Consider the following 23299-nt stretch of genomic DNA (forward strand, 5'->3'; position numbering starts at 1 on the left):
CCACTTAGCCGAGAACTCATGAGAGCAAAGGAGAAGCTAAATCCCTAAGGACGCAGCCCCATAATGGGCCCCAGGAGGAGCTTGAGAGAGACAGACAGCCCAGGAGCCAAGTCTCAGCCATGAACAGAAGGTACTGGAAGGTTTTCCAGGAGCAGACAGCGCTCCTCGGACAGTGGAGAGATGGTAAAGGACGTGAACCCACAATTCACACAAGGAAACAAAACCCCAAGCCTAAAAACAGATGTTCAGCTTGGCTTTTTAATTTTTTGAGACAGGGTCTTGCTCTGTCACCCAGGCTGGAGTACAGTGGTGCAATCACAGCTCACTGCAGCCTTGACCTCCTGAGCTCAACCGATCCTCCTGCCTCAGCCTCCCCAGTAGCTGGGATTACATGTGCACGCCACCACGCCTGGCTAATGTTTGTATTTTTTTTTTTTAGAGATGGGGTCTCACTATGTTGTCCAGGTGGGTCTCAAACTCTTAGACTCAAGTGATCCACCCACCTTGGCCTCCCAAAGTGCTGAGATGATAGGCGTGAGCCACCGTGCCCGGCGGAGTTGTCCAGCTTTAACAAACAACAACACATGCACCAATAACAGGATTCCACCCTGGCCTCTCGGACTGTCACCGATGGAAGCCTGACGACGCCCAGTGTCTTCTAGGATCTGCGGAATGGGGGCCTCTCCAGCACAGATAACAGAGGGTCCCTGGTCAACATTTTTGGAAGAAAATGTGGCGGCATTGTCGGAACCGAGAAGGTGCTACCTGCTGATGCGACAATTCCATACCTACGAATTTATTGCAAAGACCTTGTTGGACACGTGGGCAAAGATGTCTACCTATATCCTTATCCTTGTTCTGATTGCAGAACTGTGAATGCTTCCAAACTGGAACCATCTCAATCTGCCTGCAGAGGCGTGGTTAGGCCACGTTGCATTTCTAGGATGGGTAGCGTGCAGGGGTGGCTTGGAGGGTGCCTGCAGGCTACGTTAAGTGAAAGAGTTATCAGATGTGTGGTCACTTTTCTTTTCATTTCTTTCCTTTTTTTTTTTTTTTTTTTTTTTTTGAGATGGAGTCTTGCTCTGTCGCCCAGGCTAGAGTGCAGAGGTGCGGTCTCGGCTCACTGCAACCTCTGCCTCCCGGGGTTAAGTGATCCTCCTGCCTCACCCTTCTGAGTAGCTGGGATTATAGGCGAGTGCCACCACGCCTGGCTAATTTTTGTATTTTCAGTAGAGACGGGGTTTCACCATGTTGGCCAGGCTGGTCTCGAACTCCTGACCTCAGGTGATCTGCCCACCTTGGCCTCCCAAAGTGTTGGGATTACAGGTGTGAGCCACTGCGCCCGGCCAGTTGACCGTTTTATATGAGTCATATAAAATATGGGCTACCTACCTATCCTGTCCCATTGGCCTATTTGTCTGTTCTTTTGACAATGCCACATTGTCCCTCTCTCTTTGTGTTTTTGTTGTTTTGTTTTGTTTTGTTTTTCTTTGAGATGGGGTCTCACTGTGTCCACCAGGCTGGAGTGCAGTGGTGTGATCATAGCTCACTGCAGCCTCCACCTCCCGAGCTCAAGCGATCCTCCCAGCTCAGCCTGCCGAGTGGCTGGGACCACAGGGGCACACCACAACACCAGGCTAATTTTTTGTTTTTTAGAGACAGGGTCTTGCTGTGTTGCCCAGGCTGGTCTTTAACTCCTGGGCTCAAGCAATCCTCCTGCCTCAGCTTCCCACGTATCTGGGACTATAGGTGCATGCCACCATGCTTGCTTAATTTTTTTGTTTTTTGTAGAGACGGGTTTCGCTACGTTGCCTAGGCTGGTCGAGCAAGTTTTTAATTCCTTCACAGAGCTGTGCAACCATCAACACTACGTAGTTCCAACACTTTTTCTTTTCTTTTTTTTGAGACGGAGTCTCGCTCTGTCGCCAGGCTGGAGTGCAGTGGCCTGATCTCGGCTCACTGCAACCTCTGCCTCCCCGGTTCAAGCGATTCTCCTGCCTCAGCCTCCTGAGTAGCTGGGACTACAGGTGTAAGCCACCGCGCCCGGCCCTTTTTTTTTTTTTTTTTAAGAGTTAACGATCTGTTGCCCAGGCCGGACTACAGTGGCACCTCCTTATCTCGGTGAAGCCTTGAATTCCTGGGCTCAAGCGATCCTCCCATCTCAGCCTCCCGAGTAGCTGGGGCTGCAGACATGAACCAGCATGCACGGCTAACTTAAAATTCTTTTCTTCTAGAGATGGGGTCTCACTATATTGCCCAGGCTGGTCTTGAACTCCTGGTCTCAAGCAATCCTCCCACCTCGGACTCCCAGGTTGCTGAGATTACAGGTGTGAGCCACTGTGCTGGCTGAATTCCAGAACTGTTTCATCGCCTTAAATGGAAACCCCGTCCGCATTAGCAGTCACCCCCGTCTCCTCCAACCACACATCCATGCATATTCTCTGTGGATCTGCCTGTTCTGGAAATTTCTCCTTTTTTTTTTTTTTTTTTTGTTTTGAGACAGAGTCTTGCCCCGTCGCCTAGGCTGGAGTGCAGTGGTGCGATCATGGCTCACTGCAACCTCCGTCTCCCAGGTTCAAGCGATTCTCCTGCCTCAGCCTCCTGAGTAGCTGGGATTACAGGCGCCACCACACCCGGCTAATTTTTTGTATTTTTAGTAGCGACGGGGTTTCACCATGCTGCCCAGGCTGGTCTCGAACTCCCAACCTCAGGTGATCCGCCCGCCTCAGCCTCCCAAAGTGCTGGGATTACAGGCCTGAGCCCCCACGCCTGGCCTGGCTTCCTTCATGAAATAGGTATTGAGGGGACCACAGTTCCGAGCCCACTCCCCAGCCAAGTTTCTGCACTGATGGAGGAGGCGGGGCTAGTCTTAGGGAAGCGGCTAGAAGACTTAAGATCTTGTCTGTACCCTGTCCCCTCACAGCTGCGTGGCTTCCGACAAGCTGCTTCTGCGCTATCTGTGGAGAACGATCTAAAAGTGGGATTGGGGCTGGGGGTGGTGGCTCACACCTGTAATCCCAGCAGTTTCGGAGGCCGAGGCGGGCAGATTACCTGAGGTCAGGAGTTCGAGACCAGCCTGGTCAACATGGTGAAAGAGTTAGTGTCTTGTTCACGGCGAAACCCCGTCTCGACTAAAAATACAAAAATTAGCCAGGCGTGGTCGTGGGCGCCTGTAATCCCAGCTACTCGGGAGGCTGAGGCAGGAGAATCGCTTGAACCTGGGAGGCGGAGGTGGCAGTGAGCCGAGATCACGCCACTGCACTCCAGCCTGGGTGACAGAGCAAGACTCCATCTTAAAACAAAAACAAACAATAAAAGTGGGATTGGCATTTCCCTCCCGTGGTCATATGCGAACGGGTGAATTAAATTCTTTCTGGAAGAGGCTGGAAAGGCACTGCATGAATGGGACATACCGTGGGTGCCACGGACCAGCTGCTGCGAGGTACGGCCGGAGTTCTGCCGCCTCGGGGAGGCCTGGGTATCCCGAGACCAGAGATGCTGCCTTCTCACCTTGGGTGCCTGGGTCTGGCCCAGAGCCCGTCACACCTGGGCTGGTGCAGTCCAGGTGAAACCCGCCCTGCCAGCCACCCCCACCATCTCCCGGGGTGTCCCTGCTGGGCCTGCATTCTGACATCACGCCTTCAAACTCAACGGTGAGGCCGCGGGAACACGCATCTCATATGACGCTGGAGCCGGAAGATGGGGCTTGGGGCTTTCAGCCCTTCCTCTCCCTCTCTCTTTTCTCACTACAATGTTGTGCCGCCATCACCACCATCCTCTCCAGAACTTTCTCCTCTTCCCAAACTGAAACTCTGTCCCCATGAAACACTCACTCCCTGTCCCCCTCCCCAGCCCCTGGCACTCACTCATCCTACTTCCTGTCTCTGTGAATCTGACGACTCTAGGGACTTCCCAGGAGTGGGATCACACAGGATACGTCCTTTTGTGTCTGGATCCTCTCACTGAGCGTGAGGTCCTCAAGGTTCATCCACGCTGTAGCCCGTGTCTGGATTCCCTTCCTTTTCATGGCTGCGTAATATTCCACTGTCTGGTTGGACCATGCTGTGTTTATCCACTGATGGGCGCCTGGGGTGGCTTCCACCCTGGGGCTGTTGGGAATCATGCCGCTGTGCACTTGTGTGTGCAAACACCTCTTTCAGTCCCTGCTGTCAGTTCTGTGGGGTCTATCCCCAGGAGTGGGATTGCTGGGCCCTATGGTAATTCCGTGTTTACCATGTGAGAAGCTGCCAGGCTGGGCCTTGTTCCATCCCCACCAGCCACGCACGAGGGTCTGTTTCTCCATCTCCTCTCCCGCTCTTGTCCGAAACCGCACTTGTTATCAGAGCCTCAGCGTCCTGCCTGTTAAATGGGCTCGTGGTTTCTCCAAGGCTGCTGGCAGGCCCTGTGAAAGGCTATCAGCTCCAGCTGCTGTTAGGCTTAGGGGCACAATGGTTAACTCTGAGCTGTCAGGGAACCAGGGAAGAAAGGCTGGTTGGAATCTCTCTTTCTTTTTTCTTTTTCTTTCCTTTTTTTCTTTCTTTCTTTTTTTTTTTTTTAGATGGGGTCTTGCTCTATTGCCCAGGCTGGAGTGCAGTGGCACCGTCATAGCTTACTGCAGCCTGGACCTCCTGGGCTCAAGCTATCCTCCCACCTCAGCCTCCAGAGTAGCTAGGACCACAGGTTTGCACCAGCCTATCCAGCTAATTTTTAAAATTTTTTTGTAGAGACAGGGACTTGCTGTTGCCAGGAACTACTGGGTTCAAGCAATCCTCCTGCCTCGGCCTCTCAAAGTGCTGTGATTACGGGTGTGAGCCACAGTGCCCTGCTCGAGTCTTTTTGGGCATCCTTTGGGATTGATCTGGAAAGCTCCAGGGAAGTGTACAAAGCAGAACGGGCGCCTCCTCAGGGCGTGTGGACACGCAGGCACACGCAGGCACATGCAGACACGCAGGCACACACAGACATGCAGACACACGCAGGCACACGCAGACAGGCAGGCACACGCAGACACACGCAGGCACACGCAGACACGCAGGCACACGCAGACACGCAGGCACACGCAGGCACACACAGACATGCAGGCACACACAGGCACACGCAGACACGCAGGCACACGCAGGCACATGCAGACACGCAGGCACACGCAGACACACGCAGACAGGCAGGCACACGCAGACACGCAGGCACACGCACACGCAGGCACACGCAGACACGCAGGCACACGCAGGCACATGCAGACACGCAGGCACACACAGACATGCAGACACACGCAGGCACACGCAGACAGGCAGGCACACGCAGACACGCAGGCACACGCAGACACAGGCACACGCAGGCACACGCAGACACGCAGGCACACGCAGGCATACACAGACACACAGGCACATACAGACACACAAAGGCAGACACATGCAGACACAGGCACATGCAGGCAGACACACACATGCTCACACTCAGGTACACGCAGACATGCAGACACACACACAGACACACACAGACACATGCTCACACTCAGGTACACGCAGACATGCAGACACACACACAGACACACACAGAACCAGACACACAGATGCATGCAGACACACACAGACACATGCGGCACGGGCACGTGCTCCCAGAGCAGGAGTTGTGAGGCTGGCAGGCTCCAAGACTGAGTTTCCCAACCCACCGCAGTGGGGCGGCCTCGGATGACGTGCAGGCGTGCAGCCCGGACGGCCCCAGGGGACTGCAGCAAAAACAAACATGCCGGGTTGATTCCAGCAGAACCCTTCGACCCAGGCCTGCACACGGTGTGCTGGGAATCCGCCCTGGGTGGGGCTGACCCACTCCCTCCTAGAGTTCACCGTGGTCCCTGGATGCTTGCTGACCCCAGGGAGGACAGGGCGGGCCGCGGCAGGCGGGGGACGGGCACTGCAGCAGCTGGTGGCCACCCTCACACGTCTGGGAAACCAGGAACCCTTGGGAACTAAACTTGGTCTTTTTTATTTTATTATGTATTTATTTATTTATTTATTTAAGAAACAGGGGTCTTGCTTCACTGCCCAGGCTGAGTGCAGGGGTGCAATCACAGCTCAATGCAGCCTCCACCTCCTGGGCTCAAGCGATCCTCCCACCTCAGCCTCCTGAGTAGCTGGGACTACAGGTGCGTACCAGCCCATCTGGGTAATTTTTAAAACTTTTTTTTACAGATGGGGTCTCCCTGGGTTGCCCAGGCTGGTCTCAAACTCCTGAACGCAAGCGATCCTGCTGCCTCAGCCTCCTGAGTAGCTAAGATTACAGGAGTGCAGCATCACCCTGGCTAATTTTTAAAATTTGTTCTAAAGACAGGGTCTCGCTATGTGGCCCAGGCTGGTCTCAAACTCCTGGGCTCAAGTGATCCTCCCACCTCAGCCTCCCAAAGTGCCGGGATTACAGGCGTGGGCCTCTGTGCCCGGCCTGAATTTGCTCTTAAGTCATTCACGCTACGTGAGTCACCAGGGCTGTCCCGTGTGCAAAGTTCCAGTAAGTCTTTGTATTCCTGTTGGCAGGGTCAGGACAAGGTCCACCTCGCAAGCTGGGGCTGTGGGGCAGTGAGCTCAGTCTCTGTGTTGCGTAACCAATTGCCATCCATGTGGCGCCTTCCAACACACATCCACTTAGTACGTCACGGTTTGTGGGGTCAGGAGTCCGGGAACAGCCAAGCCAGGGCCTCTGTTCAGGGTACCCCCAGGGCTGCAGTCTGGGTGTTGGTTGGGGCTGCGTCTCATCCAAGGCTCGCCCGGGGAAGGCTCTTCATCCAGCATTCCCTCAGGCTGTTGGCACCATTTGCCTCCCTGTGGTTGTAGGACCGGGGTCCCTGTTTCCTTGCTGGCTGTTGCCTGGGGGACACTCCCAGCTCCTATGGGCCACCCTTGGGTCCTAGCTATCAGACCCTCCTCGGGCCTTCTCGCAATGCACCGCTCACTTCTTCACACCAGGAACCAGCAGGGGAGTGTCTTCCCACAACTCTGCTAAGCTAGAGTCTTCTGGGTGGGCGTGGTGGCTCACGCCTGTAATCCTAGCACTTTGGGAGGCTGAGGCAGGAAAATTGCTTTAAGCCAGGAGGCGGAGGTTGCAGTGAGCCGAGATCACGCCACTGCACTCCAGCCTGGGTGACAGAGCAAGATTCCATCTCAAAAAAAAAAAAAAAAAAAAAATCAGCGTAATATTTTACATATTATATATGCATGTAAGCATTTGCTACATATTTATATTGAGAAATAAATCTAAAAAGAAAATGTAGAACATCCCTATATAAAATGTTATGGTGTTATTTTCCTTTTTTTTTTTTTTTGAGATGAAGTCTTGCTGTCACCCAGGCTGGAATGCAATGGCGCAATCACAGCTCACTGCAGCCTCAACCTCCCAGGCTCCAGATCCTCCCACCTCAGCCCCTCGAGTAGCTGGGACCACAGGTGTGCACCACCACGCCCGGCTAATTCTTTTATTTTTTTGTAGAGACGGAGGTCTCGTTGTTGCCCAGGCTGGTCTTGAACTCTTGGGCTCAAGTGATCCTCCCACCTTGGCCTCCCAAAGTGCTGAGATTACAGGCGTGAGCCACCGCGCCCGGCTACGTGCTTGTCTTATTCAGCATTATGACATCATAGAGGGTGCTGATTCTTAGGGGCTTTGAGGGTCTCTGAGGGCTTTGAGGCTCAGAGATCTGCTGAGACACAGGTAGCGTAGGCAGAGCTGGGACAAATCCCCCGTTAGAGCCGGGGGCCCTCGGAGAACCCAATACGGGACCCAGAGGACCGAGGGCAGCCTAGTGCCAACTCCTGACTCGCCCTGTTCTCTACTATGTTAGGAAGCTATTTGCAGTTTTGTATTTGATAGAATCTCTTCCTGAATGCTTGCTCCGATCCTTTGTGGAATGAGGCAGAATATAAATAAATCAACAGAAAACGGTGCTCCAGCCACAAGCAAGAGACTGCCCGTCCTGCAGGGCCTAAGGAATTCACGAGCAACGCCCGCCCAGGGGCTGGGCTCAATGGCTGGCAGCCACAGGTTTCATCGCTAACCAGGCCGGAGAAGCTGGGCAGAAAAGCACCTGTTTGCAGCTTTTCAGCAGGACCTCTCCCCCTCAGCCCTGTGGACATTGGGGCTGGATCCTTCTCTCTGGGGTGGGGCCGTCCTGGGCACTGCAGGGTGCTGAGCAGCGTCTCTGGTCTCCACCCACTCCCTGCCAGGAAGCCCCCCAACACCCCGAGACCAAGAATCATCAGCTTCCAAATGTTAACATGCACAAGTAGGGAAACCGATGCTAAAGGATTTTAAGGTCACAGAGCTGGGAAGGGGTGGATCGGGGCCTCAAACCCCTGGCTCCCGGCCCCCCAGGGGCCGAGCTGTGGGGATGTGGATCCCAGACTGACCCCGGCATGGAAAACCACCAGCGTGGCCCGGCGCCAGACCTGCTTGTCTGTCGCTTGTCTGCGAGAGGCCAGGAAATGGCTGGGAGAGGGAGAGACGGTTAAACGAAAAAACATCCCAAGAATGCACATGGCTCGTCTCCGGCCCTGGCAGCCCGCCCCGCCGGTGCCTGCAGCAGAGGGTCCCGTGATTTGGGGCTCCGCCTCAGCATCTGCGGGATGGGTGCCCCCGGCCGGGCAGGTCCAGACGCCAAGGTCTGCACAGGGGTCACCCGGACACACCTGACTCGGACCATGTGGCTAAGTTTGTTTTGAAATTTCACTGCCCCAGCGTAACCCAGAGTCCAGGCCACGCCCAGCACGGCTGGCTCCCGTCCGGGTCTCTGTGTCCTGCAGCTCAGGGTGGCCAGGGCGGGCGGGCAGGAGGGCAGGCACCTGGCACCCACCCAGACCTGCGCCCTGGCCATCAGGCTGCCCCGGGAAGCCGGGCGACCGGGAAGATAGCAGAGTCAACAGGGCGGGTGCAGGAAAGGGCGCTCCCCATGCGAGCCTCTGAAGCCCTCGGCACACAGCCCTGGAGGCTGGGAATCCTTGAGCGTTTTCCTCTGAGGTCTCCAAGTGTTTATGGTAACAAGAGGAGGGAGGAGGGCGAGGGGACGGCCGCCGCTGGGCAGCAGCTCCGCCTGCTGGTCACCTTCCTCGGGGACATGCAAGGACAAGCTGCCGACGGAAGGGGCTTTGGCAGAAATGCGGGGAGCAGGGGACGCACCCCCACGGACAGGGGCTTTTCTGGTTGCCAAACGTGCAGACGACGGGCCTGACATCCCCATTTCCCAGGAACTCTGTGGATGGGTGTCCTGGGGCTGCCGTAAGAAAGTGCCACAAATGGGGGACTGGGAGGGGGTCTTAAAACCACAGACATGGATCCTCTCCCAGTTCTGGAGGCCAGAAGTCCAAAATCATGGGGTCTGCAAGCCTGTGCTCCCTCCAGAGGTTCCAGGGGAGAACGCTTTCTGCCTCCTCCAGTTCTGGGGGCGCAGGTGTCTCTCAGCTTGTGTCCTCCTCGGACACCTGGCCAGAATCCACTAGGACTTTAAAAAAAACCATTGCACCCCCCCAGTGCCATCCCAGAGGACCCACTCAATAAACACTGGAGCAACTCCCAGGGCAGGGGAATGCAGGTGTGCCCAGGGGTCAGGGCCCATACACGCAGCTGAGTGAGCCCTGCCAACCCTACCAGTCCCAGTCCTGGCCCCCGACATTGGTCCCGGCCTGGCCTGCTCACCCCTTCATGCCTCTCTGTCTAAGGGGCAGGGATAGGACGCAGCCCTGCTGCTCTCTGTCTGGTTCTATTTTTTTTTTTTTTTTTTTTTTGAGGCTGAGTCTCACTCTGTTGCCCAGGCTGGAGTGCAGTGGTGTGATCTCGGCTCACTGCAACCTCCGCCTCCTGGTTTCAAGAGATTCTCCTGCCTTGGCCTCCCAAGTAGCTGGGACTACAGGTGCACTCCACCATGTCCGGCTAATTTTTGTATTTTTAGTAGAGACGAGGTTTTGCCATGTTAGCCAGGCTGGTCTCGAACTCCTGACCTCAGGGGATCCACCTGCCTTGACCTCCCAAAGTGCTGGGATTGCAGGCATGAACCACCGTGCCCAGCTCTGTGCCTGGTTCTGTTTTATTTTATTTTAGAGACAAGGTCTTGCTGTTACCCAGGCTGGAGTGCAGTGGTGCAATCACAGCTCACTGCAGCCTCAAACTCTTGGCCTCAAGGGATCGTCCCCACTCAGCCTCCCAAGTAGCTGGGACTACAGGTGCCACCAAGCCCAGTTAATTTTTACATTTTTTTTTTTGAGACAGAGTCTTAGTCTGTCTCCCAGGCTGGAGTGCAGTGGTGCAATCACGGCTCACTGCAACCTCCCCCTCCCAGGTTCAAGCGATTCTCCTGCCTCAGCCTCCCGAGTAGCTGGGATTACAGGTGTGCACCACCACGCCCGGCTAATTTTTGTATTTTTAGTAGAGACAGGGTTTCACCATGTTGGCCAGGATGGTCTTGAACTCCCGATCCTAGATGCTCCACCCGCCTCAGCCTCCCAGAGTGTTGGGATTACAGGCGTGGGCCACTGCGCCCGGCCTCTGCCTGGTTGTTGAGGCAGAGACTGGTGTCTTCTTCCCTCGTCTTCCCCTCATATCAGGCCTCAAGAAAGACTTCCATGAACGCTGTGGGAAAATGCACTATGATGTCCCTCACTAGAAGTGCCTTCGCCGCAGGCCCAGCCTGAAAGTGATTAATCTCTGCTTCCTCCTCTCCCCTCCCCCAACAGAGTTTGTCTAAAAGTGCCCAGAGGCCTGGGTGACAGACTGATGGGGGGGGCCGCGGGGGTGGAGGGGTGATGGGGGTGGGGGGGTGGGGGGCGGAGGGTGTCTCTCGGGTGGCCTGGAGCACCAGCAGTCAATTCCTTCACTTGCAAATTGCCCAGGAGGGGTCAGCAGAGATACTGAGTTCCCAAACCACAGGGGGGTGAGAACAGGTCTGAGGCTGTGGGGTGGGATGTGGGGGCCCCCTCCCTGGTCCCTGGTGTTGTTTACCAAACACAGCAGCAAAGCTGTGTCTGCAGCCAGGACGCCTGCAGCCAAGCTCCTGGCTGCACTCCCAATGCCCACTTCTGCACGTGTTTTCACCCCACCCTGCAGGGATGGGACACCTCCCCTTCTTGAGGGTGAGGACACTGTGACATGTTCCTCAACAAGATGCCTGGCCAGGCCCCATTCACTCTGCATCACCCAACAGGTGTTGAAACAACGCATGAACCGTGTTATGGTCTAAGGTGTAGGCTCTACTCAAGATAGGCACAACTTTGTGGAATAAAATATCAAGGTTTCACAAGGTGACAAGTGGCCAGTTGCTCAATTTGTGTTAGAGAAACAGAGAATGTCTGGGAGGGGACAGGGAGGTGAGAACATTTTGTGGAGGGTTTGGCATGCAGCCTGTGCCCTATAACCCTCACTTTAAGCCAGGGTGCCAGCATCATCCTATGTCACCTACCACCCATCTCTTGAAGTCATCACCAAAGTGAAAAAGCAAAATGGAAATACTTTGCCAAAGGGACGAGAGACAAAAAGTTGAGGTCCTTAATATATAAAGATCTCCAAAAAATCAATAAAAGTGAACAAACCAGCTTAATAAATGTGGGATCCTGGATCAGATCATGGAACACAAAAGCACGTGGAAATGGAAAAAAGGATGAAATTTGAATCAGCCCTATACTTAATATTGCAGCAAGGTTGATTTTTTTAGTGGTGATAAATGTTCTGTAGTTATGGAAGATATCAGCCAATGGGAAGCTGGATGAAAGGTGTAAGGGAACACTCTGTACTATTTTTGCACCTCTTCTATAATTCACATATTATCTCAAAATGTAAAAAATAAAATTGTTAAAAGTGAACATAATCCACAAAAAGCATTATAAATGTTCATTATGAAAACTTTCAAGCTCTCCAGTAATAAAAAAGATTATAGATCATACAATGAGCTGTTACTTTTAGCCTTTAAATGACAATTTTTTTTTTTGAGACAGGGTCTTGCTCTGTTGCCCAGGCTGGAGTGTAGTGGTACAATTGTGCCTCACTGCAGCTTGGACTTCCTGGGCTCAAGAGATCCACCTAGCTCCACCTTCCAAGTAGCTGGGACTACAGGTGCATGCCACCATGGCTGGCTAATTGTTAATTTTTTTTTTTTTTTTTTTTTTTTTTTTTTGAGACAGAGTCTCGCTCTGTCACCCAGGCTGGAGTGCAGTAACTTGATCTTGGCTCACTGCAACCTCCACCTACCACGTTCAAGCGATTCTCCTGCCTCAGCTTCCCGAGTAGCTAGGACTGCAGGTGCAAGCCACCATGCCCAGCTATTTTTTGTATTTTTAGTAGAGATGGGGTTTCACCATGTTGGCCAGGATGGTCTCGATCTCTTGACCTCAGGTGATCTGCCCACCTCAGCCTCCCAAAGTGCTGGGATTATAGGCGTGAGCCACTGTGCCCAGCCAAATTGTTAAATATTTTTGTAGAGATGGGGTCTTGCTATGTTGCCCAGGTTGGTCTCAAACTCTTGGGCTTAAGCAATCCTCCTGCCTCAGCCTCCCAAAGTAATGAGATTACAGGCATGAGCCACTACACCTGGTCTAACTGGCAAGTATTTTTTTTTTAAATAGATAATATCCAGGGATGGTCAAGTTGTGATAAATCATGGACTAGCAGACAGTGGGTGGAGGACATTGGAATAACTGTTCTTGAAAGCAAATCTCCCTCTGGAAAACTGTCCTAAGGATATTTTTCTTTAAACCTTTGTGTGTTTTCTGAAAAAATTTTTTAGCAACAAGCCAGTGTTACTTTTGTAAACATAAAGTTGTACTATTTTGATGATTAAAAATGGACCTCTCACCCCCTTTGTAGACTGTGGAACCCGGGCTGGCTCAGCACAGTCTTGCAGCCGTCTTCATGGGGTGAGGTTGGGGAGGACCAAGAGCTCTCACCTTCGACTGCCCCACCCTCCAGCTTTGCCCGCCCCAGCCCAAGCTGTGTGGCAAGACCCCTTGTTGGTGCAGGTGCTGGGGGCTGGTGGCTGCTGGCATTCCCACCTTCTAGAGTGACTTTCACACTTCCTGATGAGTTTCCCATTCCGCTCAGCAGGCCCATAAATAGGATTGTGCAGAGGTGCATATGCAAGCACTTTACCTGAAGAATTATTATGGATAAAAGTAAAGAAATAATAAACAACTTAGATGCCTCCCTTGAGCCCAAGAGTCCCAGGCTACAGTGAGCCCTGATGGTGGCACTGCACTCCTATTTAATTTAGGAGATTAGTTCAGTAATCTGTGGTACAACCAAAAGATAAAACACTTAACATTCACTAAAAAGGATGTCGCAAATCCATATTTGATAATGTGGAAAGATTCCCATAATATATTGCTAAATTAAAAAAAACAGATTAAAGAACAGTATCAATAGTGTGATTCTATGATTATTCAGAAAAGTCCATACATGTGTGGGTGTGGTGCATATTTTTTAACAGTACATGTTTGGAAGAACTAAAAGTCACCAGGATGGGTTGGAGAAGAGGTTGGCTCCAGGACTGAGGCAGAAAAAAATATTATATTTCTGGAGCATCTTTTTGGGCCAGAAAGTAAGGAAACTCAAAGAATTATGGCAACGTATCAGAAGGACACAGAGCCAGCTTGGCTGGGTGCCAGTGGTTCATGCCTATAATCCTACCACTTCGGGAGGCTGAGGTGGGAGGATGGTTTAAGGTCAGGAGCTCAAGACCAGCCAGGGCAACATAGGGAGACCCTATCTCCGCAAAGAATTAAAAAAAAAAAAAAAAAGCGATGGCACGTGACTGTAGTTCCAGCTACTTGGGAGACTGAGGTGGGAGGATTGCTAGAGCCCAGAAGTTTGAGGCTGCAGTGAGCTGTGATTGCATCACTGTACTCCAGCCTAGGTGACAGGCAAGACCTTGTCTCAAAAAATAAAAAAATTAGCCAGGCATGGTGATGTGTCCCAGCTACTTGGGAGGCTGAGGAGGGAGGATCACTTGAGCCCAAGAGGTCAAGGCTGCAGTGAGGCATGATTGCAACACTGCACTCCAGCCTGGGCGACAGGGCAGACCCTGCCTTAAAAAGAGAGAGAGAGGGAAGGAAGGAGGAAGGAAGGAAGGAAGGAGGGAGGGAGGGAGGGAAGGAAGGAAAGAAGGAAGGAAGGAGGGAGGGAGGGATAGAGGGAGGGAGGGAAGTAAGGAAGGAAGGAAAGAAGGAAGGAAGGAGGGAGGGACGGATGGAGGGAGGGAGGGATGGAGGGAGGGAGGGAAAGAAGGAAGGAAAGAAGGAAGGAGGGAGGGAGGGACGGAGGGAGGGAGGGAAGGAAGGAAAGAAGGAAGGAAGGAGGGAGGGAGGGAGGGAGGGATAGAGGGAGGGAGGGAGGGAAGGAAGGAAGGAAAGAAGGAAGGAAGGAAGGAGGGAGGGAGGGAGGGAAGGAAGGAAAGAAGGAAGGAGGGAGGGAGGGATGGAGGGAGGGAGGGAAGGAAGGAAGGAAAGAAGGAAGGAGGGAGGGAGGGACGGAGGGAGGGAGGGAAGGAAGGAAGGAAGGAGGGAGGGAGGGATGGAGGGAGGGAAGAAAAGAAGGAAGGAAGGAAGGAAAGAAGGTAGGAATGAAGGAAGGAAGGGCCTTGTTCTTAGAAAATATCCACCAAGATCTTTAGGGTTAATGGGGCATGATGTCTCCAACTTAATTTCAAATGACTGGAAATAAATTAATATGCATACATGCACAATTACATACATATAATTCTGTGTATACATAACTGCATAATAATATATCTAGCATATATGCCATATAAGTAACTATCTTTCTGCGTATATATAGATATATACATACATATCCACCTGCAATTTATACATAAATACATAGACACACATAAATGTGTATACACACACACGGTGAACGATGGAGTGAGAGAATAATAAAAGAAAAAATAGGGCAAGGCAAGTGTAAACAGTTGGCATATTTGAGTATAAAGAGTATACGAAGTGCCTGCGGCTATTCTTGCAACTTCTCCGTAAGTTCAAAAGTATATTGAAAACAGCCAGTTAGAAACAGGCAGCCTGGAAGAGATTTTAACAGTCTTCATCTCCAGATTGGGATTACCAGGGGAACTTTTCCTTTTAAAAACAAAATGGAGACATCATTCATATACCATAAAATTCACCCTCATAAAGTGTAAAATTCAGTAATTTTTTTTTTGAGACAGAGGCTTGCCCTGTTTCCCAGGCTGGAGTGCAGTGGCGCGATCTCGGCTCACTGTAACCTCCGCCTCCCGGGTTCACGCCATTCTCCTGCCTCAGCCTCCCGAGTAGCTGGGATTACAGGCACCCGCCACCACGCCCGGCTATTTTTTTGTATTTTTAGTAGAGACGGGGTTTCACCATGTTGGCCAGGATGGTCTCACTCTCTTGACCTCGTGATCCACCCGCCTCGGCCTCCCAAAGTGCTGGGATTACAGGCGTGAACCGCCGTGCCCCGGCCAAAATGTATTGATTTTTCAGTATCCCTTTTTCTTTAAATCTTTGTGAGTTTTCTGAAATATTTTTTCAGCAACAAGCCAGTGTTACTTTTGTAAACATAAAGTTGTACGATTTTGATGATGAAAAACGGAACTCTCACCCCCTTTGTAGACTTGTGGAACCGGGGCTGGCTCAGCACAGTCTTGCAGCCGTCTTGATGGGGTGAGATCGGGGAGGATCAAGAGCTCCCACCTTCCACTGCCCCACCCTCCAGCTTTGCCCGCCCCAGCCCAAGCTGTGTGGCAAGACCCCTTGTTGGTGCAGGTGCTGGGGGCTGGTGGCTGCTGGCATTCCCACCTTCTAGAGTGACTTTCACACTCCCTGATGAGTTTCCCATTCCGCTCAGCAGGCCCATAAATTCAAAGCGAGGGCCGCAAATGGGGAATCTGGGATGGCGCGTCTGGCTTGGGGGGCTGGGAGCCAGCGGGCCCAGACAAGCTGCTGGTGACCTCGGTCCCCCAAGAGCTCAGCTGAGGCTGAAAGGGAAGGATGGGGAGGGAAGGACACTCACACACTCTGGAAATGAGGGCAAATCCCAGCCCTGACATTTGACAGCCAAGGGCTCAAATGAAAAAGAAGGTAGAATTTACACACACGCACGCAAGCATCCCTCAATGGGAACTCACAGTGAATATCGTGTGTAGATCCAGTAGAATGTCACCTTGGCCGGGTGCAGTGGCTCACGCCTGTAATCCCAGCACTTTGGGAGGCTGAGGTGGGCGGATTATTTGAGGTCAGGAGTTTGAAACCAGCCTGGCCAAAATGGTGAAACCCTGTCTCTACTAAAAATACAAAAATTAGCCGGGTGTGGTGTCACGTGCCTGTAGTCCCAGCTACTCGGGAGGCTGAGGCAGGAGAATCGCTTGAGCCGGGGAGGCAGAGGTTGCAGTGAGCAGAGATTGTGCCACCGCACTCCAGCCTGGGTGACAGAGCGGGACTCCATCTCAAAAAAAAAAAAAAAAAAAAAAAAAGAATGTCACCTTGAAATCATAATGACAGTGGAGAATCCTGGCATCCACTACCACGCAACACCACATCCGGCTAATTTTTGGCCCCAGACGTCACCCGATGTCCCCCAGGGGCTAGGATCAGCCGCAGGTTAGGACCCCTGGGTTGGAGGTTTCACCACGGAGAGTTGCGGCGGCAAGAAGACACCAGGAGGAAGTGACCTGCACACAATCACCAGATCGTCCCTGAGCATCTGGCTCTAGGGTCTCTGCCTGGACCGAAGCATTCCCAGGTGCAGACCCAGGGGTCTCTCCTGTCCCTCCGACCTCACCTGCGTACCCTGCGTTGCTTCCTCTGCCGGGGAAGCTCACCCACGTTCTCAGGTCCTGGGCGGAAGGGCAGAGGGCTCCCCGGGCACAATGTCTTCTGATGAGAATCACAGCTGCTGAGATGCAACTGCAAGGGGCTGGGAAAGTTCCTGGGACCCAAAGGAGCTGTGAGATCTAGCGCCTGGGATGGCAGAGGCTCTGGCCGGTGAGGACAACAGCCGGCGTCAGCTCGGGGGTCGGTACGCAGGCGGCCACCTTGTAACGGCCACAAACGGGCTTCAAAGGGGAGGCAGGCCTGGGCTGCTGAGTCACCCGGGCCTCATGCAGTTCACAAAAAGCTGTAACTCGAGGCAGCATCACACCGACCGTGGAAGCATGGAAGGGAGGGGGACGCTGTCTCAGCCTCCAGGAGCTACCTGGCAGGCTGAGGCAGGAGAATCACTTGAACCTGGGAGGCAGAGGTTGCGGTGAGCCAAGATCGTGCCACTGCACTCCAGCCTGGGCGACACAGCAAGACTCTCATCTCAAGAAAAGAGAGAGAAAGAGAGAAGGAAGGAAGGAAGGAAGGAAGGAAGGAAAGAAAAGAAAAGAAGGAGAGAGAGAGAGAAGGAAGGAAGGAAAGAAAAGAAAAAGAAAGAAAGAACAGGAACAAGATAAGGGTGGCCACTCTCACTGTTTCTATTCAGTATTGTTATTGCAAATTCAAGCCAGGGCAACTGGGCATGAAAAGGAAATGAAAAGCATCCAGATTGGAGCAAGAGAAGAAAAACCATCTCTCTATTTGCAAACGGCCTGTTGTGGTGTAAAAGGTCCCCGGGTACAATTTGTGCAGCAGAAATACGGCACTTCACAGGCTGCTTAGAAACCTAGCAAGTCCCTTGAGCACAAACTATTTTCCTAAGCTTGGTGGGGGCGTGAGAGGGTGGCCGGGGACTGGTGACAATGTTGTTTGTGCACTGGGAGAGTCCGGCTGAATTGCAACTGGCCTTTACATCCTAATCAGCTCCCTGAGGACAACCCGAAAGACATCAGATTAAAAAGTCACAATGAGATAAACCAGCACGACGCGGCTCTCTGCAAAGCGACAGGTAGTAAACAGACCTTAACGCACGTCATGAGGTTTGTTTTTCTTTTAAAAGTCAACAGCTGGTGAATCGCACAGGGCCGGGCAGGGCGGTCAAAGGGCCCGTTCCCCCGGCTGGGAAAAAAGCAGGAGCCCAGGGCGGCGGCAGCTGGACGCGGGCCCCGTGGAACTTTCTCCCGTCAGTCAGGGGCCGTATTTCTTAGCCATCCTCCTCTGACCTTCATTTCAAACCGCCTGCTGACGCATCTAACCTTGGCCCGTTCCGTGGGAACTCCAGACTCAGGGTGACCAACCCCAGCTGGGTTACCCAGGGTTGTCCTGGTTGGAGTGGCTCCAAGTCCTCAGACCCAGCAAACCCAGGCTTGCTGATCACACCGCAGACCCCACCAGGTGGTCATCTTTCTGGGGAAACTGGCTTCTTTTCCTCCCCGACTCCCTTGCTTTGTCTTCGTGGTGGCACCTCTCTTCCCAGGTGCTCAGGTGTGACATCAGCCGTCCCTTGCTGGCCCTGGTGCCAGCTGACTCCCAGGTCTCCTTTCTCTTCTTTAAGATGGAGTCTCCCTCTGTGACCCAGGCTGGAGTGTAATGGCGCGATCTTGGCTCACCACAACCTCCCCCTTCCAGGTTCAAGCGATTCTCCTGCCTCAGCCTCCCAAGTAGCTGGGATTACAGGCATGAGCCACCACACCTGGCTAATTTTGTATTTTTAGTAGAGATGGGGTTTCTCCACCTTGGTCAGGCTGGTCTCGAACTCCCAACCTCAGGTGATCCGCCTGCCTCAGCCTCCCAAAGTGCTGGGATTCCAGGCATGAGCCACCACGCCCGGCCGTCTCTTTCTTCTAAGATGGAGTCTCCCTCCGTGGCCCAGGCTGGAGTGCAGTGGCGCGATATCAGCTCACTGTAACCTCCGCCTCCTGGGTTCAAGTGATTCTCCTGCCTCAGCCTCCCAGGTAGCTGGGACTACAGGTGCACTTTTTTTTTTTTTTTTTTTTTTTTAAATAGCAGAGATGGTGTTTTGCCATGTTGAACAGGCTGGTCTTGAACTCCTGACCTCAAGTGATCCGTCCGCCTTGGCCTCCCTAAGTGCTGAGATCACAGGCATGAGCCACCATGCCTGGCCTCCCAGATGTCATTTCTTGCAGCTCTCGGAGTCTTCCACGTGTCTCTGGATCTTCCTGTGTCATTCCCACCTCCGCTGTTTGACTCTGGTCCCCTCCTCCCATGTCAGATGATGGCAGCAGTAAGGAAATGATGCCTTGATTTAGCTCTTTTAGGCCCTGCGCGTAGGGGGTTGTACTAAGTCCAGGAGCATTTAAAACCTCACTGCATACGCACTACAACGTGGATGAACTCCGAAAAATCACACTCAGTGAGAGAAGCCAGACAAAAGGCCACACAGTGTGTGATCCCATTGACATGAAATGTTCAGAACAGGCCAGTCTCGCTCTGTCGCCCAGGCTGGAGTACAGTGACATGATCTCAGCTCACTGCAACCTCCACCTCCCGGGTTCAAGCGATTCTTCTACCTCAGCCTCCCGAGTAGCTTGAATTACAGACATGCACTGCCGTACTCAGCTAATTTTTGTATTTTTAGTAGAGACAGGGTTTCACCCTGTTGGCCAGGCTGGTCTCGAACTCCTGACCTCAAGTGATCCACCTGCCTCGGCCTCCCAAAGTGCTGGGATTAGAGGTGTGTGAGTCACTGTGCCTGGCCTTTATAGCATATAATTTTATCTCAATAAAGCTGTTAGGAAATAAACTATAGGTAACAACATTATCAAGAGGTTGGGCCTCTTATCCAGGTGGATTTTTCAAATGAATCAGTTTTTAAAAGTACCATTAAAAAACAAAACTATAAGAGGTAAGGCAAAAAATAGAACAGGTAAAGAAAATGGGTCAGTCTTCCTTTTTTCTCTATCGGGCACATAACAATTTTCCATATCTTATAGATAAAACTGAGGCTTAGAAATGGTAGAATTGTGTGAATTATATCTTGATAAAGCTGTCGTCTATATCTATGTCTCTATATCTATTCATCCATCCACCCATCCATTCACTCATCTATCCATTCATCCACCCATCTGTTCATCCATCCATCCATCCATCCATCCATCCACCCACCCATCCACCCACCCAACCAACCATCCATCCATCCGCCCACTCATCCATTCACCCATTCATCCATCCATCCACCCACCCACCCACCCATCCATCCATCTATCCATTCATCCATCCATCCGTCCACCCACCTATCCATTCACCCATTCATTCATCCATCCACCCATCCATTCATCCATCCATCCATCCACCCATTCATCCATCCATCCATCCATCCATCCACCCACCCATCCACCCACCTAACCAACCAACCAACCATCCATCCATCCACCCAACCAACCATCCACCCATCCGCCCACCCAACCAACTATCCATCCATCCACTCATCCATCCACCCACCCATCCATTCACCCATCCATCCATCCACCCATCCATCCATTTATCCATCCATTCATCCATCCATCCAACCATCCATTTACTCATCCATCCATCCATCCACATACATACATACTAGAAATGGTAGAATTGCAACTAGAATTCAATATTTGCAAATCCTGGTGCAATAAATATTATTCTTACTCATTTTAAAATGTTAATATCTACTTTATTTTTCAAAGTTGAGCACGATATAAGTATGTTGTTCCTTGGATTCCTGATGCTCTCAGTAACCTAGCAACTCAGCACCTCACAGAGAACAAGAAGAACCTCTTGCGCGGTAGGTTTGGCTTGCAAACAAGCCGTTCCACGCTGGAAGGCTGTGTCAACCGATGATGTGGAAGAATAATCATCCCTCCTTGCTGTTTCTTATGAGATTTGTCAGGCATACTCCTACTTGCCAATACTATTTGCCAACATACTACTCCGCCTCCTCTCTGTTTCCTCTCTTGTAAGATGGCAATAATGCATGCAGGATGATTTCCATCCCTTTCTTTAAACCTTTTGGTATTTTTAAGATTTTCTAGTATGTCACTGTTTTCGTAATTTGAAAATAAAGGGTTTTTTTTTTTTTTTTTTTTTTAAGGGAGAGATTATAGGGGACTGAGTGTGTGGCCTTGAGTTTGTCTGTTTCCAAACTCCCTATTGAGGCTGTTCAACCAAAGAACCAAAGTTGGGGGAAAGTCTATCCCAAGGCTCCAGCCCAAAGGAAGCTCTCTTCTACAATGGGTGTGTTAGGATGGAGGAGAGCCACAAAGCCAGTAAAAAGGCACATAGCAAACTGGAAGAAAATAGTAATATGTAGCATATGTAACAAAGTGTTAGTGCCTGTCATATGTAAAGAGCACCTACAAATCAATAAGAAAAACTCAATAGCCAAATAGAAGATATACAGAGGTACTTAGTGCAAAGATACTAACAATCAGAAAAGAAAGGAATAGGTGACTGATCTCACTGATGGCCAAATAAATGAATATTATAACACCAAAGAGACACTAATTTCACATAACTGGCTGGCAAAACTTTTAAATTCAGTTGATAACCATTATGGCAAGGCTGTGGGGGAACTGGCATTTTCACTCACTGTTGACAGGAGTTCAAGTTGCTATAAACTTTGTGGAAGGTTATTCGTCAATGATTAACAGAATTGTAAATGCCACTATCTTCTAAAGCTGCATTTCTGCTTTTAGGAATTTACCTCCTGAGATATTTAGACAAGGTCAAAAGTGATGTATACCATGATGTTTCTGCTGCAACATTATTTGGATGTAAGAAAAACTGTAAAGATCAGTAGTGTGTTCTTCAAGTCACTCTGGCATATCCATACACAAGAACGCGCTAACTAAAAAGAATGAAGCTCACTGATCACACTGACAAAAAATGGCAACCAAAAACAACTCTTAACATTTTTCAAAAGGCTGAAAAGTAGAGTTGCTACATTAAAAAAAAATTGCTCCTTCTATCACAGCATTTTTATTTCTAGCAATGTGGCAGAAAACATCACTTTAAATCTCTCCTCCTCTAAAACCCAAGCAAGACTGGATGAAAGAAATGAACAAAGGCCAGGTGCAGTGGCTCATGCCTGTAATCCCAGCACTTTGGGAGACTGAGGCAGGAAGATCGCTTGAGCCCAGGAGTTCATGACCAGCCTGGGAAACATAGCAAGATCCTATCTCTAGAAAAAATTTTTAAAAAGCATCCAGGTGTGCTGGTATGTGCCCATGGTCCCAGCTACTCAGGACGTTGAGGCAGAAGGATTGCTTGAGCCCAGGAGGTCGAGGCTCTAGTGAGCTATGATTGCATCGTTTCACTCCAGCCTGGGTGACAGAGCAACAAGGAGAGGGAAGGAAGGGGAGGGGAGGGGAGGGGGAGGGGAAGGAAGGAAGGAGAGGGAGGGAGGGAAGAGAGAAAGAAAGAAAGAAAGAGAGAGAGAGAGAGGGAGGGAGGGAGAGAGGGAGAGAGGCAGGGGAGAGGAGAAGGAAAAAAAGAAAGAAGAAAACGAAGGAAGGAAGGAAAGAAGGAAGGAAGGAGAGGGAGGGAAGGAAGGAAGGAAGGACGGAAGAAAGAAAGAAAGGGAGGGAGGGAGAGAGGGACGGAGGGAGGGGAAAGGAGAAGGGAAAAAAAGAAAGAAGAAAAGGAAGGAAGGAAAGAAGGAAGGAAGGAAGGAGAGGGAGGGAGGAAAAAAAAAGAAAAGAAAATGCATACTCTTTCTAACCAACAGCTGAGGTCACAAAAAAGTAAGAAAATCCAGCACAGACTAAAAACTTCAAAGAGGACAGGGCACCGGGTGGTGAGAAGTGGCCTGTGGCCACCCAGATTGAGGGGAGAGGCTTCTGGTCTTGGTCACCAACGGCCTGATGTTGTTCTTAATCTCTGCCTCTCTTAAAAATGTATAGTGGAAAATTCCTTTTTTAAAAAAAAAACTTGGAATGTTTGTCTTTATTTTGTGCTTTATATTTTCAAAGTGAAAAGAAATAGTATTGAGTCAATTTTTGTTTTTTAAAATATTCGTTCTATATATTTACAAGCCTTCAAGCTGCTCTAAAGATTTCAAAAGTATTAAGAGTAGGACTGGGCGTGGTGGCTCACACCTGTAATCCCAGCACTTTGGGAGGCTGAGGTAGGTGGATCACCTGAGGTCAGAAGTTCGAGACCAGCCCGGGCAACAAGGCGAAACCTCGTCTCTACTAAAAATACAAAAATTAGCCGGGCATGGGGGCGGCTGCCTGTAGTCCCAGCTACTAGGGGTGCTGAGGCAGGAGAATCGCTTGAACCTGGGACACGGAGCTTGCAGTGAGCCGAGATTGTGCCACTGCACTCCTGCCTGGGCAACAGAGTGAGACTCCATCTAAAAAAAAAAAAAAATTGCAAATACTTTTCCCGGGGTAGCACTTTTTTTTTTTTTTTAAACAATCCTTGGAGTTCTGTGGTCCATGCCATTTCCTTCTGTTTCA

The 23299-nt window shown here is 51.1% G+C and overlaps 1 protein-coding gene across 2 annotated transcripts in view, besides 8 other annotated features; it reads right to left on the reverse strand.

Moving 5' to 3' along the window:
- The window catches only part of GNG7 (G protein subunit gamma 7), a 191476-nt gene that overhangs the window by 59329 nt on the left and 108848 nt on the right, over positions 1-23299 (reverse strand). The window lies entirely within an intron of this gene.
- Positions 4771-5271: an enhancer, noted in NCBI's record as "H3K4me1 hESC enhancer chr19:2575316-2575816 (GRCh37/hg19 assembly coordinates)". NCBI's record gives its function as "activates a minimal SCP1, AML or CMV promoter by ChIP-STARR-seq in naive H9 embryonic stem cells {active_cell/tissue: H9 hESC(naive)}" and the evidence as "EXISTENCE:reporter gene assay evidence [ECO:0000049][PMID:30033119]".
- Positions 6421-6565: an enhancer, noted in NCBI's record as "145 bp enhancer 50 fragment used in the MPRA reporter construct; PK_construct_2231". NCBI's record gives its function as "activates an SV40 promoter by MPRA in HepG2 cells {active_cell/tissue: HepG2}" and the evidence as "EXISTENCE:reporter gene assay evidence [ECO:0000049][PMID:23512712]".
- Positions 6487-6500: a transcriptional cis regulatory region, noted in NCBI's record as "HNF4 motif; enhancer activity is reduced when this motif is scrambled". NCBI's record gives its function as "necessary for full MPRA enhancer 50 activity {active_cell/tissue: HepG2}" and the evidence as "EXISTENCE:site-directed mutagenesis evidence [ECO:0005528][PMID:23512712]".
- Positions 8864-9158: an enhancer, noted in NCBI's record as "tiled region #4130; HepG2 Activating DNase unmatched - State 1:Tss". NCBI's record gives its function as "activates a minimal TATA promoter and a strong SV40 promoter by Sharpr-MPRA in HepG2 cells {active_cell/tissue: HepG2}" and the evidence as "EXISTENCE:reporter gene assay evidence [ECO:0000049][PMID:27701403]".
- Positions 8864-9158: a silencer, noted in NCBI's record as "tiled region #4130; K562 Repressive DNase matched - State 4:PromP". NCBI's record gives its function as "weakly represses a minimal TATA promoter and a strong SV40 promoter by Sharpr-MPRA in K562 cells {active_cell/tissue: K562}" and the evidence as "EXISTENCE:reporter gene assay evidence [ECO:0000049][PMID:27701403]".
- Positions 8977-9026: an enhancer, noted in NCBI's record as "active region_13704". NCBI's record gives its function as "activates an Ori minimal core promoter by ATAC-STARR-seq in GM12878 lymphoblastoid cells {active_cell/tissue: GM12878}" and the evidence as "EXISTENCE:reporter gene assay evidence [ECO:0000049][PMID:35858748]".
- Positions 16754-17697: an enhancer, noted in NCBI's record as "H3K27ac-H3K4me1 hESC enhancer chr19:2587299-2588242 (GRCh37/hg19 assembly coordinates)". NCBI's record gives its function as "activates a minimal SCP1, AML or CMV promoter by ChIP-STARR-seq in primed H9 embryonic stem cells {active_cell/tissue: H9 hESC(primed)}" and the evidence as "EXISTENCE:reporter gene assay evidence [ECO:0000049][PMID:30033119]".
- Positions 21910-22411: an enhancer, noted in NCBI's record as "H3K27ac hESC enhancer chr19:2592455-2592956 (GRCh37/hg19 assembly coordinates)". NCBI's record gives its function as "activates a minimal SCP1, AML or CMV promoter by ChIP-STARR-seq in naive H9 embryonic stem cells {active_cell/tissue: H9 hESC(naive)}" and the evidence as "EXISTENCE:reporter gene assay evidence [ECO:0000049][PMID:30033119]".

This window comes from Homo sapiens, chromosome 19 (assembly GCF_000001405.40).
Source record: "Homo sapiens chromosome 19, GRCh38.p14 Primary Assembly".
Classification (NCBI taxonomy): Eukaryota; Metazoa; Chordata; class Mammalia; order Primates; family Hominidae; genus Homo; species Homo sapiens.